General features: G+C 42.9%; 3 annotated features.

Moving 5' to 3' along the window:
- Positions 6,644–7,195: an enhancer, noted in NCBI's record as "NANOG-H3K27ac-H3K4me1 hESC enhancer chr10:31966287-31966838 (GRCh37/hg19 assembly coordinates)". NCBI's record gives its function as "activates a minimal SCP1, AML or CMV promoter by ChIP-STARR-seq in naive H9 embryonic stem cells {active_cell/tissue: H9 hESC(naive)}" and the evidence as "EXISTENCE:reporter gene assay evidence [ECO:0000049][PMID:30033119]".
- Positions 17,464–18,333: an enhancer, noted in NCBI's record as "OCT4-NANOG-H3K27ac-H3K4me1 hESC enhancer chr10:31955149-31956018 (GRCh37/hg19 assembly coordinates)". NCBI's record gives its function as "activates a minimal SCP1, AML or CMV promoter by ChIP-STARR-seq in naive H9 embryonic stem cells {active_cell/tissue: H9 hESC(naive)}" and the evidence as "EXISTENCE:reporter gene assay evidence [ECO:0000049][PMID:30033119]".
- Positions 18,334–19,205: an enhancer, noted in NCBI's record as "OCT4-NANOG-H3K27ac-H3K4me1 hESC enhancer chr10:31954277-31955148 (GRCh37/hg19 assembly coordinates)". NCBI's record gives its function as "activates a minimal SCP1, AML or CMV promoter by ChIP-STARR-seq in naive H9 embryonic stem cells {active_cell/tissue: H9 hESC(naive)}" and the evidence as "EXISTENCE:reporter gene assay evidence [ECO:0000049][PMID:30033119]".

The raw sequence follows: 20,905 nt of genomic DNA, 5'->3' as shown, positions 1-20,905 counted from the left end.
TAATACTATGCTCATTGTGGTGTGTATGTTGGAGAGTCCATAGATCATTGGCATATAGGCTATGGTGCGCCATAGAGATGTACATAAGGCTTGGGATCCTGCAAATAAAATCTTTCTGAGGTCTCCATTTGCCTGGAGACCAGACAATGTTAGAGGTAAGCCATGTCAAGCTCGGTAGGAATCATAATTAGTAACAAGAGAATTAAAGGACATTTGATACCAAGTTGATTTCAATAGTGTATAAAAACTTTGCTTCTATATAGCTTCATTTCCTTCCCCCTCCTTTGTCCTGTTCTCATACAAATCACATATTATATGTATATTCCCATAAATACAGATTTAGAATTATTTTTATGCAGTTTTCTTTTAAATAAATAGGAGAAAAAAGAGACAAACAAAAATATATTTATACTGCCTTTTATATTCACCTAAGTAGTTGCCTTTACTAGTGCTCTTTATTTCTTTAGGTGGATTCAAGTTACTGTCTAGTACCCTTCTATTTCTGATTGAAAGCCTTTCTTTAATATTTCCTGTAGGGCAGGTATGCTAGTGATGAATTCTCTGTTTTTGTTGATCAGGAAATGTGTTAATTTCTCCTTTTTTTTTTGAAGGATAGTTTTGCTGGATATGAAAGTTTTGGTTGACAGGTTTCTTTCTTTCAGCCCTTTAATAGGTAGCCCCATTGCCTTCTAACCTCCATGGTTTCCGATGAAAAATCTGCTGTTATTTCTTATAGAGGATCCCTTGTAGGTGATGTCTCACTTATCTTTTTACTTTCAAGATTATCTCTTTGTGTTTCAATAGTTTAATTGTAACCTGTCTAGGTTTGATCTCTTTGACTTTATTCTGCTTGGAATTCATTGAGGTTCTTGGATGTGGAGATCAATGTTTTTCATCAAATTTTGGAAATTTGGGTCATTATTTCTTCAGATATTTTCTTCTGCCTTCTTCTCCTCTCTCTCTTCTTTTTGGGGATCCTATTACATATATATTGTATGCTTGAGTCTGTCTATCAAGTCTCTGAGACTCTATTAACTTCTCTTCTTTGTTTTCTATTCCTCAGACTGAATAATTTCAACTGATCTGTGTTCAGATTCACCGATTCTCTCTTGTGTTTGCTCTGTTCAGACTCTGTAGTGAATTTTCATTTTAGTTATTGTACTCTACAACTCTGGAATTTCTATTTGGTTCTATTATATAATTTATATCTCCTTATCAATATACTTTATTTGGTGAAACACCATTCACATACATTTCTTTAGTTATTTAGATTTTTTTTCTAGTTCTTTGAACACATTTTAAAAAGCTGATTTAAAGTTTTTGACTAATAAGTCCAACATCTGGACTTCCTCAGGAACAGTTTCTATTCCTGGGGCTTGTTGCTATCGCTATTCTGCTATAGCTATTGTTGTGTGTTTGTTCAGTCATTTTTTAGAAAACTAATTCTGTAAAGTCTCTATTCTTTGTCCCTGACTTTGAAGTCTATGCTGGGTTAGCTTAGTTGTCTGCTAATGACTGGACAGAGACATCTTTAAATGCCTAAATCAGTAAGACTCCCACTCCTTGCAAAGAAGTTCTGTGTGCATTTCAGGGCATGTCTTCAATACTCAGCCAGCTGATTGTCAACTCTTCCTTAGCCTTTGCTTTCTGCTTCTGCAGAGCCTCAAGGTCAGCCAGAGGTGAGAACTTAGAGACTTCTCAAGTTTACCATGAGCATATGCACAGGCCTATTATGCACATGGCCTTCTAGATTCCAAAGAATATATTAGAGCTTCTCAGAGCTCCTCATTGACATCTCATTTCCTAGCTTTTCTTTTTAAGTTTTTTTGGTGAGACTATTATTTGCCTTAATTATAATCTATTTCCTCAGGCAGGTGGTTAAACAATTGCTGATGATTGATTTTTATACATGCTTCCAAGAAAAAGACTGTTTGCACTGTGTGAGCTCTTAGGTCAAGAAAATACAAGTCTTATGAGTGGGGTCTTCCAGGGAACCACCAGGTAGATATGACAGTGGGGCTTTGAAGGAGGTCTAACTCTGTTCTGCCCCTCCAGAGACTGCCAGCTTTCTGTTTTTCACTGAAATTGCATGCTGCTGGTTTCCAAGGCTACTGTGTAGCTGGAGATAGGGGGATGAGAATAAGGTAAGTCAAAATACTATAAAGCTCACTGTTCTTACTGAGATTCTGCCAACTTTTTTTTCAATAAATGCTCCCAGGTTGCTGCAAGATTTTGTTTAATTTTCTGAGTTCTGAAAACATTGATTATGACCATTTTTGTCAGTGTTCACCTTGCTTTTAGGGAAGAGATAATTTTTAGAGGTCTTTATTAAACCACTCCCTCTGATATCACTCTTAAAATGATGTTTGAGGCTGGAAATCAACATAAACCAAGCTGACTGAGTGGGAACATAACCAGAGTATTTAATGGATGTGCAACTTTTGGAAGAAGTACAATTTTGGCTGGATCATAGGGGCTGTATAGAGACCCCATGTGGGAATAAGGTAGGGTGGCAAGATTGAAGCCACATTCAAACTGACGTTCAAAATGTTTGAAGACAGAAATCAACATGGGGAAGACAATGTTTTAGGAATATTAATCTTGCAGTGTGTCCAGGAGGTGGGTGAGAGTAGAGGCAAGAAAAACAGTTACTTTAGTCAGAAGGGGAACATTGTGTACCTGGAACAAGCAATAAGAATAGGTTGGGTGTGAAAGCATCCCAAAGGAAGCTTCTTTAGGACAGTCAATTACTGGTTACTGGGGAGGGCTTCAAAGTATGGTTGTTGTATACATAATTATTTTCTGTAGCTGCTAACAGTGGGGATGCTTCCCTGCCAAGTTTTCTTCCTGCCTGCTCAGAAGTTACGTATCTTCCAATGGGGTCCTTTTGGCCTCATCCTTTTGTACTGTCTGCATCTATAAATGGTCCTCCTAGTGAAGTACCATGAGGTGTTTGGCCATCAATCCTATCAGTAGTGCTGCTTATTGGTGGTGAAGCATAGCTGGTGTTCACAAAGCTTCATGGAATCACATATGAAGTTTTTGACTCATAGGAGCCCTATTTTAGGAACATCAATAGGTTTGCCATCCATTTGCTGCTGGTGGTGAGAGAACCCTGCACAGAGAAGGAGAAGGGCTGGGCGCTTTCCTTCTGGGATGTCACTGATATTCAGAATGTCCCCTCCAGGTACACTGGCCCAAAGGTAAAGATGTGGGGAGGATAGCTCATCAGACACAGCAGGTTCCGGGGTTCCACTGTGCTTTATGTCTCCCAAATGGTATATCCAAATTCTTTCTGTATCTCCAAACATTCAGGTCTTTTCAGACAACCAGAGACATGTCTCAAGTTCTAGGTCATATCAGACACAGTTTCCCAAAGTACAGTAGTCCCCCACCTGCCGCCCTCCATCTGTGGTGATACATTTGAAGACCCCTAGTGGATGCCTGAAACCACAGATAGTAAGAAACCTGATTGCTGTTCATTGCAATATGGCTCTGTTCACGTGTTCCACCCACAAATCTAATGCCCTTTTCATCTTAATTAAGCATTTATCATGAACTGTGGCTGTAACTTTGGCAGACTGAGGTGAGACAGCATAACTAGTCCAAATTACCTTTTCCTTCTTTACAATTTTACAGATAGATTATTTTTACTGTAGATCATAGAAACATCAGCATATAATTGTTTTCTTTCCTCCTTAAGTTGAGAACTTTCACCTTTTCACTTAAAAGAAGCACATTATAGCTTCTCTTTGGCATATCCATATTGCCAGCATCACTACTCCTGTGCTTTGGGGCCATTATTAAGTAAAATTAGGGTTACTTGGACACAAGCACTGGGTGGTGTAGACAGTGTGGAGATGCCAGACAAATGGAGGATTCACGTCCCAGGAAGGCCAGGAGTGGGACAGTGTGGGTGAGATGTCATTGTGCTACTCGGAAGTGTGCAATTTAAAATGCATGAATTGTTTACTTTTGGACTTTTCCATTTAATATTTTCAGACCATGGTTGGCAATGGGTAACTGAAACCAAGGAAAGAAAAGTGTGGATAACCGAGACTACTGTATAGTCCACGGAACTCCAGCCCCATAAGCGTCTCTCACAAAGAAGTCTAACATGCCAGAAAAGGCTTCATTCTCTGTTTTCTTTAGGAAGGGTCACAGTGCATGTTACCATGTTCAAAGCTCTCAGAAGTTCTGTGAATAACTAAACTTCTAGTCTATTTAACTTATTATTTCCTAGTTTCACTGACCACAGAACCCTTTTTCCTATGGCCACCCCACTTTGAAGTGAGGCCTTTGATAAGCGTCACTTAATCATTCATTTACCCTCTTCCCTCTGGTCATACACAATATGCATCAATGTTCCAAGGGCTTCAATAAGTGCCAGACCCTTGGAAAAATGAGGAATCAATTAAGCACATGGCGAGTCACCCAGACAGCCCAGATGTCACAACCCTGCCGTGCTGAATTGCCCCAAAAGATCCTGAATGGCTACAGCTTCCTAGAAACTTGGAAGACTCCCTCTGCTATTTTTTTTCTCAATGGAGTGGGGTTTCTTCAATGTAAAATAGGGTAACTGGTAACAGCACTAACCTCATAGATGCTACATCATACGACTGTGGCGAGGTTATTTACTTGATATGAGTTCATGTATGCGAAGTGCTCAGAACAGTTCCTGGCACATAGTGAGCTTTATTGTGTTAGCAAGTCTTGCCCTGAATACGTTCCTTAATGACCTATGTTGCATTCATTATCATCAGGTTGCTATTATAATGTTATCATGATCTATTATTCTGGCTTTTTAAAAAAAATAAATGGTCAAGAGTGAAGCTTAAGTCTAAAATAGCAGGGCATGATTGCAGGATGCATGCAAACAGTCTCTGTGTCTGTCTGTCTCTCTTTCAGTCTGTCTCTGTCTCTGTCTCTGTGTCTGTCTCTATTTCTCTTTCTCTCACCTACGCACATACACGCCACTCTCTCCCTCTGAATTAATCAATTGCCATTGATCTGTCTCAGGCCTGGGGTCCCAGTTACAGCCCCCCTGAGGTATGGACTCAAAAGATGAGAGAAAGAAAGAAAAGAGGCTTTCTTTGGGGAAGAAAGATGGGAGCTAAGAGGGGAGTAAGGCCTGCAAATATCCAGGATCATTGTTCAGAATATGTCTCGACAGTTTTATAGAAACAACCCAGACAGCTCTGGGGCCGGCAATTTCCACCAAGGGAAAGAAGAAGCCCTTGATCTCCATAAATCTCCCCGAGAGTAAGGTGTGTGCATCGCACGCGATAGAAAAATACTGTCACACACGATAGAGGGAGAAAAGATGCAAGCCAATGGAAGTGACATTTTTCCCTGGAGGTAAATGTTAGCTGGGAGGGTGACTGTTCCCCGCCTCTAAGAAAAGGAAATAGCAGGTTTACATGTGCCTGCATCCCCCAGCGCTCCCCACCTCTTCAACTCCTCATTTCCGCCTGCAAGAAAGGAGAGGATTGCTTTCCTCTTTAGAAACAGCCATTGGAAACTAGGGAAATAGCAAATTGGGCATTATGCCCATCATTTCCAAGAAAATCAGCAGGCGCTGGAGAACCCAGTCTTTCCTCCCAGGCCTACTTTTCTGGAGGAATGGGGAAAGAAGGGAAGCCAAGGAGACCAGGCTGACATTTCCAAACAGAAAGGGCATGTCCCTGGCCCTTAGGGAGCGAGAACTGGGACGCCAAGGGGCCACGTTGGGAACCAGGTTGCACAGTGACACGACATTGCATGTGTGCACTCAGAAAGACGACACACTCACCACGCTGTAATGACTAATAAAAACAACCCGTCAGAAATATGTCTCCACTTTCCTTTGCGCCAGGTAATGAATTAAAGATGACAAGGGAAAAACAAACTTCAGTGGCGTGCCTTCTTTCTAAGCATTAGAAAAGCTTCAGTCAAATTGTGCTGCACTGGAAATTCCTCTTCCCAATCAAGCCTGCAACTCTAAAGTGGATCAGAACCTTCCAGGGCTCAGACCCAACTCACAAACATGTGCCCACCTGGGCCTGGGGTCTGGCAACCCTCGTCACCGTGCCCCAGACAGAACGCCAGGTTTGACCCCTTGTAAGCAGTCTGACAGCTCACGAATGGAAAAGGGACAGGTCTAATTTAAAATGTGTTACCGCCCCTGTGCCCAGGCTGGGAGGGACAGAGAACTGAAGGGTGGGCACTGGGCCAGGGAGGCTCGGGAAATGATATGCTGCCTGCCAGGTAGCAGGCTCGGCTCAGCGTTTCCCAGGAGCTTGTTGTGCTGGCTTTATTTACAGCCTGAATATTGGGTGTGGTGCCGAGTTCCCTTTGAAGATGGCTGTGTCCGTCAGATCAGTATCCGAGGTCTGGAACTGCAGATTGGGGGTGAGGATGAGCGCTCTCCACCAACCCCTAGATTTGCTGTGTCACTGAGGAGGGCTTGGAGCGGACCCTTATCCCCACTCAGCTTCTACCTCGGCCTCCAGCAGAGCTGTCTGGTTTGTATGCCCCACCCTGACTTGTTTGTCATGCAGTTGTGTTTGAAGAAATCGTCCTCCGTTGAGGATGCTGTTGGCCTGCTCACTGCTGGCTGCCTGCTGGGATTTCACAGTCCTTGCCCCTCCTCCAGCCAGACCTGTGACTTTGCTATGCCGGGCTCTGGTCACAGTGGCCACCTCTCCGGTCAGGGTGTATACCTTCAATTTGTTCTGGAAAAAGTCCCCATAGGCACCCTGGGCATGTGTGGGAAACCCAAGAATGCCAGGGTATGTCTCAGAGCTCAGCTCAGCCATTGCTCCCATTCAGGGAGACTTGTGGAGGCCCTTTCTTTGTGTCCAGTGGAAGATACCAAAGGCCTGTGTGAGGAAGGGGGTCACCCAGCCGGGACAAACCATTTCATCGCATCTTTCCTGAGGGGTTAGACCAGGCAGGACAAAGCCGTGGGTCTCGAGCACATTCCTTGTCCTGCGCATTCTAACCACAGAGGCCTCAGCAAAGACAGGGTCTGAGACTCTCTTCAATGAGCTCCTGCAGAGCTATTATCTGTGGGCTGACGGCTCCTGAGCACTTGGCCTGTGTAATTGTCTGAGGCAGTGCCTGGGGTGGGGCGTCTGCTACAGAACCCAAACTGGGAACTGTGCAGACCACGGCCTCCACAGGCTAAAGTGGCTCCCACCTGCTCCAAGACCAAAGCCACAGTTGGTATCATTCCTTATAAATAGCACACATCCAGTCCAAATGCTAAATTAAATTAGACTTAAAATAGTGACACAGTCGACACCTGGTTCACTGCAAATGGTAACTAATAGCACCCACGTTAGTAAATACTCATTTTCTATGGCAGGGCTCCTTCTTTCCAAAGTTCTCCCACTTGACCTGAACCCAAAGCTGTTTTTTGTGTGTGTGTGTGTGTGTGTGTGCATGCATGTGTGTATTGGTGTATACTAAGGGGCAGGTCTTTGTGGAGAACTTTGACAAATATTGGCAATGAGTCGCCCTCCCCATCTGATGCATGTGTGAATGAAAGTGCTCTCCACTGAAAAGATAGAGCAGCAGGAAAGCTAACTTCTAGTTCCTCCTTGCTTCCACCCCTCAGTCCAGTTTTCATTTGTCCCTTTCTCTTGGTGTTCACAGGGGCAACTTGCTCTAATTCCTGACCCCATCACTAGAACCAGAAGTCCCAACACTCAGGTCTTGATTTCAGCCCAACCTGCTTCAGCCTCAGACTGTGGCTGAAAACATTCTCCTCATTTTGCTGTGTGAGGACCCTCAGCCACAGCTGGATAGCAGAGTCTGAGTATGTGAGCATATGTGTTTGGGTTTTCAACAGACATTGATTAAGTATTGACTAAGTGTCAGACAGTGTATTCTGTGTTGGGGAGACAAGGGGCACAGCCATGGTTCCTGCTCTTGGGGCATCATCCTTCAACAGAAGAGGTGAAGGTCATCCTTTTTTATTTATTTGTTAGTTTATTCATTCACCCACTTACTTAAGATTTATTAAGGGCCTTTCATGTGCCAGAGACTATACAAAGACACTACAAATCCAAAATTAAATGACAGTCACTACCCCACTGAAGCTTGCGGCCCATGGGCAGCATTTGATAAACCAATGCACACAGCACAGAGTATGCCACATATCATAGCTGTAATATGCGTGGTTTACAGTAGAAAATCCGAGGAGGGTCATCTACAGCAGAGAGCTTCACTTCAGTTTTCTGGAGATGTTGCTGGAGTTGAGTTTTCAAGAGCACTGTGGTAGATTAAAGATGGTACCAGAGTGTTTGCTTTCCCCACTCACTGAAACCTAGCTTAACTCTTCTGCCCTTGAATCTAGGTTGGGCTTAGTAACCTTCTTAATTGGTAGAGAGTTCAAGAACTATTTTTCTAGAACTACCAAGGCTAGGTAAGAAGACTTGCAGCATCTACTTCCTGGCTCTTGGAATCAGGACTATCCTGGAGAGGTGACATGTAGGTGCTCCAGTTGGCAGTCCTGGCTGGGCTTGGCCTTCTAGTCATTCCAAGGCAACAGACATGTGAAAGAAGTTATTTTGGACCCTCCACACCAGCCCACCTGCTAGCTGAATAACACCAAGTGACCTCTGTTTATACCATGAGGAAAAGAAGAATCACCCAGCTGAGCCCTGCCAAAATTTCTGATCTATAAAATATAATAAGTGTTAGGCTTTGAGACCTGCATAGTGGTGGGACAGACATACCCCTGTGATCATATTCATGCTAATGGGTGCAAGGAGGGTATGTAGTTTGTCCTCCTGGTTACAGGGCATAGCATAGCCTGCTGCTGGTCTCTGAAATCATTTACTCCTAGAGGAAGTTTCTCTTTAGCAAGATAAATCATCAGCCTTCCTCCTCCCACCACACACACACTTCCTAAATTACTGCTCCCCACTCCACAATTAGGCATTCTTGTGTTCACTGATTCATTCTTTGATTTGTTTAAAATATAATGATTTGATATATATTCATTACACTAGCAACACTTATTCACCACTTATCAGGCCCTGGGTTCAACACTTACATGAATTATGTCACTTAATCCTCATGACATCCCATGAGGTAGTTAGTACAGCTAGTTCTGCTATGGTACTCATTTTAAAAATGAAGATTTGTTCAATACAATTGACATACTAGGAAACAATTTAATCATATGCAAATGTTGCATTTGCTTATGTATAATTTTGTCTACACACACACAACTAAGTGATCACAGAAGATTGCATCCAGCTGAACAGAACTGGATAGGGATACAAAAAATGCACATATGTACATGCCTTAAACATCTATCAGCTGCCTCAGTTACCATGTACCCAGAGGTGCATTCATTCACATCCAATGTTACCTCTTTGCATCCAATTTTAGATTATCCTCCTTCCAGTACTTCATAATAACTCACAAGCTGCAACTTACCTGATGCCACTTCCACAAGCAAACTTTAGCTCTTGTTCAAGGTAAAGCACCATACTTATTTGCGGTAGTTATGTATTTAACCAGTTAACATGTGTAAAACAGTATGCTATGGACTGAATGTCTGTGTCCCTGCTGCCGACCCATAAAGTCATATGTTGAAACTTTAATCCCAAATGTGATGTATTTGGAGATGGGCTTTTGGGAGTTAATGGGGGCTTAGGTCATGAGGGTGGAGCTGTTATGAGGCGATGAGCATTCTTATAAGAAAAGACACAAGAGAGCTTGCTTCTTCTCCCTGCTCTCTGCAATATGAGGACACAACAAGAAGATGGCTTTCTGCAAACCAGGAACCAAATTGGCTGCAACTTAATCTTGGACTTCCCAGCCTCCAGAACTGTGAGAAATAAATGTCTGTTGTTTAAGCCCCCCAGTCTATGGTATTTTTGTTATACCAGCTCAAACTGACTAAAACACAAATACTACCATTTTTATTAGGTGCCTGTTATTTTATGTGTCACTAACCAAGGTTTTGGGTTTCATACCCTAACCCCATTTAGGAATGCATGTGTTACACTGTAGCAAAACTGACTGTAAAGTTATCTTCATTTTATAGATGAGGAAATTGGGACTTAGAAAAGGCTGGCTCAAGCTGGTAAGTGTGGGATCAAAGCTCAAATTTCTGGTTGAGAAACTAGAATCAGCCTAGCCCTGCTTCCCCTCACCCCGGCTCTGAACTACTGCACTGTATTGCTTCTCAGCATGCAGGCAGAAAGATAAAGTGGAGAAGGAACGGGGCCCTGAGCCACGAGAAAACTGATTCCTCAGTTCCTGAGCATTGAAACTCTGGCTTCCCTCTTACAGTCTCAGCCTCCTTTCCTCCCCAGACCCCTCAACTGGGTGCCCTGGCCCCAATGCCCACCTGGTAGAACACTCCTCTTCTGTGCCTCTGCCCTCTTCCCTGAGGCTCTGAGGCACGACTGCCTCTTACTCTCCTCTGTCTTCTCAGTCATGGCTCAGGGCCTGGCACCTGACTGAGCCTCCTAAATGTTTCTGGAGCTAGACTAACCAGAACAGGAGGCTTGGCTGCAGTAAGTGGGCAGAAGGAGCCAAGCTCCTAGGGCTAGCATGGAGGGAGGCCTAGGAGGGCTACCAGTAGCCTCTACAATACACTCAACAGCAAAGCAAACTGATAAATTCCAGGCACAATTATAGCCCCCCTCCCTAATATCTGATTAGAAACCAAGGAAGACAGAGTGCCCTGCAGCCTGAAGAGGACATCTCTGAAGCTTCCCAAAGGTGGAAGTAAACTCCTTGCTCCTCCCTGCCCATTTGTTCTTCTCCACCTTCCTCTAGTGGGTTGATCAGAACTCTGTGTATGCTTCATGGCTGGCCCAACATTTCCTTGGTCTACAGACCCCACCTCCCCAATGAAAACGTGCAATCTCTCTGTCTCTTTAGATCTCAGTGCCCGGTGGCTTTCTATGCTCCTTCAGTCATTAATCATGTGCATCTTTGTGATGAGGCCTAAGACATTGTCTAGCGGTATTTCTTAACTTCTCATGCACATGCACATCCTAACTTGAGAACAAATTGTGTATTGAGGTCGAAGGCAAGTGAGCCATTGGATTCAGAACACATGTTCCCATAGAAGCTGTGTTGCAAATGGAGGGTGGGCTCCTCAGCAGCTCATGAAAGTCTATTTAGCCCGCCATGTGACTGAACCAGACCACAGCAGAATCTTGGGTGCTGGAGGGGTGGGAGGACATGCAGGAGGGAGGGAAAGGTGGAAAAGAGTTGCTTCTTCCTGAGCATAAGACCAGCAGTCAGGAAAAAACAAAGAAATATAGAGTTTAATGTATGTGCCTCCATATCTCTTTCTGGAACCTTCTCCCATCTGCTACTCCCTCTTTCCTCAATGTCACACTCCCCTGGCCTCATGCCTGCTCCTGAGACACTCAGCAAAGAGGTTAATAGCAGAAGATTTGGAGTCCAACAGATCTAGGTTTAGTCCCAGTCTCAGGTCCAGTGTATGCATACAGTGTAATTCTTAGATCTCAGACTAGGAATTAAACTTCAGCCTCAGTTTCCTCATCCAGTGATGGTTTTCTTACCTTGTAGGGGTGAGGTAAGTAATGAGATAACTTGCATGGACCTAAACGCTTCCCCCGGGGGCTGTCTTAAAAGTTCAGTGACTGCTATTATTAGGTGATGAAGGACTCTGCAAGGACATCTATAGGCATCCTCTAATGTGGAGTTATTCAAGCTTCTTAAATCTGTCAGTTTGGAAAAATTCTCAGGATCTAGTTCTTGAAATACTGCTTTTTCTCAATTTTCTCGTCTGTCCATCTAGAACTTCAATTTCACCTTTTCAGATAATTTTACTGTTTGCCGTGTGTTTGCTAAACTTTTCCCCTCTCCTGTGCTGCTTTATTCTGGGTATTTTTTCTTTATCTCTCTTCAAGTCACTATACCTGCCTACTACTGTATATTATCAATGTTTGAACAAATCTGTTGAATTCTTAATTTCTGTCATTGCACTTTTTAGTTCAAGGAGTTCCATTTGATTATTTCTTATAGATTCCAATTCTCTGGTGAAATTCTTTGTCTTTCTTATTATTTCCTTGAACTGCTGATCATAGTTATTTAAAATTTCATGTCAATTAACTCTAATATCTAGAGCACCTCAGTTCGTTTCTATTTTCTATTTTATCTCTTTCTACCTCCTCCTTTTCCCCATTTTTGCCATCCCCTGCCGTGTCTGGTAATTTGCAAATTGAATGTTGGACATTGTGCATGAAAAATCATACAGACTTTGAATGATGTTATCTTCCTTCAGAGAGGATTTAACAGGTTGGTAGAGTGTTGGCGGATCACCTTCATCTGATAAAAAGCTGGTTACTTATTTCAGTTTTTTTTTCTTACTCCTAGGGGTAGCTTTTCCAAGGTCTCAACTGACAGTTTGGGTGTTCACCAGGGACTTTCTTTCTTGGCACACCATGAACTCCAATTTTTTCTTTTTTTTCTGAGACACAGTCTCACTCTGTTGCCCAGGCTGGAGTGCAGTGGTGCAATCACTGCTCACTGCAGACTCAACCGTCCAAGCTCATGTGATCCTCCCACTTCAGCCTCCCAAGTAGCTGGGACCACAGGTACTTGCCATCACGCCTGGCTAATTTTTTAATATTTGTAGAGAGACAGGAGTCTTGCTATATTGCCCAAGCTGGTCTCAAACTTTTGGGCTCAAGTGATCCTCCCACCTCAACATCTCAAAGTGCTGGGATTATAGGTGTGAACCACTGTGCTCGGCTCTGAACTCTAGTTTTTGTCTCTTTAGGACCCTAAAACTATTGAAGTTAATGATTAGTTTTTTAATGTGGCTTATTTCTGCTTGGTTTATGTGATGGTTAATTCTGTCTGGGCTAAGGGATGCCTAGAAACCTGGTAAAACCTTAATTCTGAGTATGTACCTGAGTGTGTTTCCAGAAGAGACTGGCATCTGAATCAGTAAACTGAGTAAAGAATATGGCTCTCACCACTCTGTGTGTGTGTGGGGGGGGCACCATGCAATTTGTTGAGGGCTGGAAGAGAACAAAAGGCAAAGGAAGGGCCAATTTGCTGTCTATGTTTGGGTCGCGACATCCATCTTCTCCTACCCTCAGACATGAGTGCTCCTGGTTCTCAGGCCTTTGGACTTGGACCAGGACTTGTATTATGCCATTGTTTCCCAGCCCCATTCCCTTCCAGGTCTCAGTACTTCATATTCAGACTGAATGACATCACTGGCTTTCTTGGGTCTCGTTTGCAAACAGCAGGTTGTGGGACTTCTTAGTCTCCATAATCTCATGAGCCAATCCCTGTAATAAATCTCTCTCTCTCTCATACCTTCATGGCTGTTCTCGTCCACCTTCCTTTAATGGGTCTATCAGAACTCCATGTATGCTTCATGGTTGGCTCAACACTCCCTTGGCCTACAAGGTCCCACCCACTCCCCGCACTGGAATCTTGTAACCTCCCTCTGTCTCTTTAGAACTCAGTGCCCTGTGGCTTCCCATGCTCCTTCAGTAGTTAATCATGTGCATCTTTGTGATGAGGCTGAAGACATCATCTGGTACAATATTAGGCCTTCTCGCATTGCTATAAAGAAATACCTGAGACTGGGTAATTTATGAAGAAAAGAGGTTTAATTGGCTCACAGTTCTGCAGACTTTACAGGAAGCATGTTGCTTGGCTTCTGGGAGGCCTTGGGAAGCCTGCAATCATGACGGAAGGTGAAGGGGAAGCAGGCACGTCACATGGTGAAAGCAGAAGCAAATGAGAGACACACTTCTAAATAACCAGATCTCACGAGAACACATTCACTATCTCAAGGACAGTGCTAAGGGGATGGTGCTAAACCATTCATGAGAAATCCACCCCCATGTTTCAATCACCTCCCACCAGGCCCCATCTCCAACACTGGGGATTACAATTCAATGTGAGATTTGGGTGGGGAAAATATCCAAACTATATCAGGTGCTATTTCTTAACTTCTCATATACAGGAACATCCTAACAATAGTGTGTGTGTGTGTGTGTGTGTGTGTGTACATATATATGTATCAATAGGAAAAATAGTACCTGATATAGTTCAGATACTTACCCTGCCCAAATCTCATGTTGAAATGTAATCTCCAATGTTAGAGGTGGGGTCTGACAGGAGATGATTGGATCATGCCGGTAGATTTCTTATGAATGGTTTAGCACCATCCTCTTAATGCTATCCTTGCAATAGTGAATGAGTTCTCACAAGATCCGGTTGTTCAAAAGTTTGTATCAATAGGAGATCTGGTTGTTTAAAAGTTTGTATTGATAAGATATATATATATATCTCTCAATAGGAGATATATATATATTATGTATAGGATCAACAGGAGATGTATATCTACATATACACACATATATAGTTCTATTAATGAGAGATGTGATCCTATTTCTCTGGAGAACTCTCACACTAATACAATTTTTTACCCTGTAGGTGTGACAGATACTGTGATGCAATGCCTAGATCCCCCTTCAGGAATGAAGGAATTAGTCCCCCAACTGCTAGGGATTGTCAATTGGCAGCCCCTTTGAGGATTGCTTCTGCTGAAAAAAAAAAAAGTAAAAACAAAACTGCTTCCTGCAAGGTTCACACCCTTCCAGGGCAACCTGTATCCAGTGCTTTCTTGCCTTTGGGGTAAAAGAACCTGCTGCTGTGCAGCAACTTGGGACAATTCTAGATTGGGACAACAACCCTGGAGCTAGAAGGGTTGCTATAGCTCCAGAACTCCCTGTGGGGTTGGCAGAGGCTGAGGCTGCAACAAATTCTGCTTTCTTCCTCTCCCTTCTATAGAGGGTGATCCTAAAAGTACCTCCTAATAAACATTGTGCTCATTAATCTCTGTCTCAAGGAACACAGTCTGTGACATTAGGCCTGCACATGCACAACTTGGAAGTCAGCAATGCCTTGAGGGTATATTGGGTGCCAAATAGTAGGCACATTTGAATGCATTTCCTGTGTCTTTGGGATCTTGGCTTCTTTGGGGCATTGGCTGCCTTGGTTGCTATCCAATGCCTTCCAACAGTTGGCCTTTGTGTTTTATCCAGCTTTTATAGTTGTTCTCAGTGGGAGATTAATCTGATATCATCCGCTCCATCATAGCTGGAAACAGATCATGCTGACTGTTTTAATTCTCAGAAGCCAGAAGGAGCAATGATGGAAACTGTTGCTGGGAACCTAATTCTGTTCAACAAAGAACTGTTGATTGGAGATGCAGAAATGATGAAAACCTGAGGAGAAAATGACCTTGTTTTCTTAGACTCTGCAACACCCAGGAAGGAGAATACAGAGCACAGTTACATATATGTCACGGACTTTAGAAATACAGACTTCAAACTTCCCAAGGAAAAGAGATAGAATCCAGGGGCCAGATAAATAAAAAAGAAATATCAAAAGCCATCTGAAAGTAAAAGTGAAAATTTGACACTATAATCGCAAAAAAAGCCAAAGAAAGAAGGAGAAGGAAATCTGGAAAACAGATAGACTCATATGCTGGTACACTTTTTGGAACGTAGAGTATAAATAATAAACAAGTAGTAATGATACACAGATGAGTTAATATGTTGGATAGCAGTAAAAGAGCAGAAAGATCTAAAGAAGATACTAATGGGCTGGGTGAGTGAAATCTAACAATATGAGATTGAGTAGGGGCAATGGATTTACTCAGGTCCTAAGAGCCTAAATTTACAAGGACAAGGTGAAAATCAGGTTTAATAAGTGTTCATGTGAAAAGCAAAGAAACAAACAAAGCACCTTAAGCACTTTAGTTTACTTTAAGTTGGTATGAATCACTGCTATGAACTTATCATCTAAAATAAAATTTTAAATTGCATTAACAGAAGTACAAAGTCTCAAGTGAGAAAGTCCTATAATTACTCTGTGTGGGTAGTCTGACCTCAGACCTTGACACAGTCTGAATGTGTCCCTCCAAAATTCATATTGAAATCTAATTCCCATTGTGGTGGTATTAGTAGGTGGGGCTTTTTGGGAAGTGCTGTTACAAAAGAGGTTGTAGGGAGCTGCCCTGTCCCTTCTTCCATGTGAGGTAACAGGAAGAAGTGTACCATCTATGAAGCAGACAGAACCCTTCACAGTCATCAGATCTGCTGGTGCCTTAATCTTGAACTTCCCAGGCTCCAGAACTATAGGAAACAAACTTCTGTTTATAAATTACCCATCCTAATGTATTTTGTAATAGCAGCCCAAATGAACTAAGACAGATGCTAATTACCACAATTTCAGCAAGATATTAACCAACCATGATGTGTTCAGAGCAGGGCAACCAGGATGTTGAAGGAAATGGGTCATATGAGTGACTTCGGAAGAAATGGAATGAGAAGAAGTAGGTCCTCTGTAGGAATCATCTTCACGTATGCATGTGGCTATCAGGTTGAAGGGGCTTTTGATTTTTTTCCTTCATGAAACAAGGGACTGACTGTGGAGAGACAGATTTAGATTCAAATACATGAAGAAATGTTAAACCATTAGAACTGTTGGAAAATGAAATGGGCTTCCACTAAAGCTGGTGTTGTCTCCCTCCGTTGTGCATTCATGAGAGGCTGGAGGCTGAGGGTCCCCTAGCTGGTTGAAGGGTAGAGGAGGCAAGGGAGTGTTTTGGTTGGCCAATAATGTTAAAAAAGTTTGGCCGGGTATGATGGTTCACTCCTGTAATCCTAGCACTTTGGGAGGCAGAGGCAGGCAGATCACCTGAGGTCAGGAGTTTGAGACCAGCCTTGCCAATATGGCGAAACACCATTTCTACTAAAAATACAAAAATTAGCCAGGCATGGTGGCATGTACTTGTAATCCCTGCTACTCAGGAGGCTGAGGCATGAGAATAGCTTGAAGCTGGGAGGCGGAGATTGCAGTGAACCAAGATCACGCCACTGCAGTCCAGCCTGGGTGACAGAATAAGATTCTGTCTCAAAAAAAAAAAAAACAAAAAACAAAAAGAAGTTTGAGTCAGCATTAAAGTTTGAGAGATTTTACATAAAATAAATTTCTAGCTTCCACTGAAAAAAATAAGATATATGACATTACTTAGCTCTCTTTTCTGCAAATAAACCAACGGCAGCTAGTTTGCTTATAGCCTGTCTTAGTTCATTTGTGTTGCTGTAAAGTAATACCTGAGGCTGGGCAATTCATAGACAAAAGAGGATTATTTGGCTCATGGTTCTGCAGGCTGCACAAAAGCATGGTGCCAGCATCTGCTTCTGGTGAGGGCCTGATGAAGCTTCCACTCATGCAGAAGACAAAGGGGAGCAAACATCAAATGGTGTGAGAGAAGGAAAGAGACAGAGGTGGGAGCTGCCAGGTTCTTTTTAACAATCAGATCTCATGGGAAGGAGTAGATAATAAACTCACTCATTACCGTGAGGACAGCACCAAGCCATTCAAGAGGGATCTGCACCCAGGATACAATCACCTCCCACCAGGCCCCACCTCTGACATTAGGCACCAAATTTCAACATGAGATTTGGAGGGGACAAAATATCCAAACTATATCATCCCCTTTATACCAGGCTGTGTTTTCCAGTTTTCCAAAGTCTTTCCCACTCACACAACGCATGCTCTTGACGGACCAATTCAACCTTTTCATATCACCTGCCTGAGGCTGTAGGTACTGGAGTGTACAATCCCCATTATAGAGGAGACTTAACTACTAAATGAGGGCAGGAAAATCCCACAGTTTTACCACCCTTTGCCCTGCTTTCTGATGGGAACTGCCCACCCAGAACCCCTGCTGCCAGAAAGACTGTTTTGAGACAGGTTCCCCGATTGCATACTGAGCAGTTTAGGTGGACACCTGATCACAGGGCAGTCAATTCACAGGCTGATAGTGACATGTAATGGGGCCGAGCATGGAAAAGTGAGCTGAACCAATCACATTTTCTTTCTCGGCTTTAAAAACGAAGAAAGTGTGAACCAGCAAGCTTGCAATGGTTTTGATGCTGAGGGCCCACAGAAGTCATGATGGGCCAGGAACAAGTTGAAATTAGGATGCATCTAAAACAAAGAGTTTATTTCATGAGAGAGGGGAGGGAGCACGTGAACAGAGAGAGGCAGAGATATCTTGATAGAGAAACCGTGTGGCCTGAAAGAGACACATCAAGCCACGGGTCCCCAGAGCTGTCTGGGTTCCTCATGGTTTTTCAGCTTCAGACACAGGCGCAAGTATATTCTTGCAAGAAACTCCAATTTCTTGAGCTAACTTGAGTGTTCTCTTGTCCTTGCACTCAAGAAAAGCTAACCAAAGCTCCCTTAAGGCCTCTGCTAACTTGAGAGTCTGTGATTCTACAAATTTGAATCTAAGGGTTTACCTCCAGGATATGAACTGTGAAAGGAAAATATCTTGGGCCCCTAAAATCACTAAGCTAAAGGGAGAACTCAAGCTGGGAACTGCTTAGGGCAAACCTGCCTCCCATTCTATTCAAAGTCATCCCTCTGCTCACTGAGATAAATGCATATCTGATGGCCTCCTTTGGAAAGGCTAATCAGAAACTCAAAAGAATGCAACTGTTTGTCTCTCACCTACCTGTGGCCTGGAAGCCCCTCCCTGCTTTGAGTTGTCCCATCTTTCCAGACCAAACCAGTGTTCATTTTACATATGTTGATTGATGTCACCTGTCTCTCTAAAATGTATAAAAACAAGCTGTGCTCTGACCACCTTGGGCACATGTTGTCAGGACCTTGTGAGGCTGTGTCACAGGCGTGCGTCCTCAACCTTGGCAAAATAAACTTTCTAAATTAACTGAGACCTGTCTCAAGTTTTCGGGGTTCACAGACTGCTCCCTGACACCCAGGTAAGCCAAGCACACTGTGGACAGATAACCCATGCAGTAGGGATCCATCTCTAAGACTACTTTCCCAAATCCTTTTTCTTCTGCAACAAAGCCATGCGTAAAATTTTAGAGGTATAAGCATGCAAACACCTTAAGATCTAATTTTATCACATTATCATATTCCCAACAGGAAAAAGAAGTGTGTAGGTAAACCTATGTGCTTTCTTATATGCATCTGTCAACCCTAATCAGACACCCTCTTCCTTCAATAGAAAAAATGATTCAGATGTTGTCATCAGACTTGTGAACCTGAAGAATATTTAACTTGTTGATTAAGTACTTAACATTACAAATGAATGCAAAACTGTCTATCAGTTCTGGTGTGATTACTTTGGAAAGGTTGTAAGTTTTTAGGTGGCTGTGATAATGAATGACCTTTGTGATATTAAAGCCTTCCTTGTTGCGTCAGCTTTTTGGAGGAGTTGCTAGGCGGGCCCCAAGAAGAAGAAAAGAAAGATGCCTATTAGAACTCATCATAAAGTCACTGATTTGTTTTTTTGTAAGCAACTGCTGTTGAAATTAGATGACAAAGAACAGGCTGTAGCTGCCCCTGTGAAGGGAGTTGTGGATGTGTAAAGAAATTTGTTATTGGGGAAAGCTTCCAACTATGATGGCACCTCCCTGGCACCGGCCACAGGATCTGCAACCTGTCTCCGAACAGTCACATACACTGGGGGGACACACAGACACAAAACAGCTGGGCGGTTGACTGACCTTTCCACTTTGCAGCCCAGTATTTTGGCGTCATGGAGATTAAGACTTGACTGATCTCACTGGAAAATTGTCTAAGCATTTGCTACACTCTGCTTTTGTAGACACCAGTCCCATTCCCAGGGGAAAAAAATCTACACCTGCTGAATCTTTTCAAAACCGGTAGATACAGGACATTTAGGACAAATTAGTGAAACATGCCAATATTTGCCCCTGCCCTGCTTCTGCTAGAATTTCAAAGATTTTGTTTGTCAGAAAAAGATATCTTTGTAATTTCTAGTAATAAAGACAAATTAACAACAACAAAAAAACTGCCCAAAAGAGTGAGAATAAGTTTTCTTGTTCTCTTTTCACATTTCTTTTTCGCTTTCACACAGTAAAATACAGCAAAATTCACTCCTTATGGCGTATGGGTTTTGACAAATGCAGAACATTTTTCTTTCTTTTTTTTTTTTTTCTGTTGCCCAGATTGGAGTGCAGTGGTGTGATCTCAGCTCACTGCAACCTCCGCCTCCCGGGCTCAAGTGATTCTCCTGCCTCAGCCTCCCAAGTAGCTGGGGTTACAGGCATGCGTCACCACACCCAGCTATTTTTAGTATTTTTAGTAGAGATAGGGTTTCGCCATTTTGGCCAGACTGGTCTTGAACTCCTGACCTCAGGTGATCCTCCCGCCTTGGCCTCCCAAAGTGCTGGGATTACAGACGTGAGCCACAGCGCCTGGGCCGCATAGCATTGTATTTCTATCACCACGATCATGCTCGGAAGAGTTCTATCATTTCTCAAATTCCACAATGCCGCCTGTTTGTGGTCAGACCTTCCATCCTTCCCCAGCCAGCAACCACTGATCTGTCCTCCATCTGTACAGTTTTGTCTTTTCCAGAATGTTAAATAAATGGAATCATTTTGTATGTAGACTTTTAGTTTATTAATTGTTAATTTATTAACTTATTTTTGCCAAACTTCCCACTGATATCATGTTACATGCAGAGAGAAGAATACCAGAAGAAATATTTGGGGCAGGGGGTATCTTAAAAGACAAGAAGGAGGAAGTGGGGAAGTTGCTGTGCTCAACTGCAAAATTATTTTCATTTGTGCAGAGAAGTTATCTCAGAGGTAGTCAGAACCAATGAAAAAGATTTATGCATTCAAACTTAGACTTTCTGTAATACTCTAAGGAAGAATTGATGAGCTTAGTCTTTGATTATCTTTAACCAGCCTTGGGATCTGACCCAGGGCTAGGTAATTAACAAGAGTAATTAGCTCCTGTTGCGGTTGTGGTGTATGCTTGTGGAGAAAAGTGCGCATTAACTCTGTGTGCCCCACAGCAGCCTCCCATATTATGT

This window comes from Homo sapiens, chromosome 10 (genome assembly GCF_000001405.40).
Source record: "Homo sapiens chromosome 10, GRCh38.p14 Primary Assembly".
In the NCBI taxonomy this organism is placed as follows: domain Eukaryota; kingdom Metazoa; phylum Chordata; class Mammalia; order Primates; family Hominidae; genus Homo; species Homo sapiens.
Note: the sequence above shows the minus strand (reverse complement) of the source record. Positions and strands in the feature narration are given on the sequence as shown.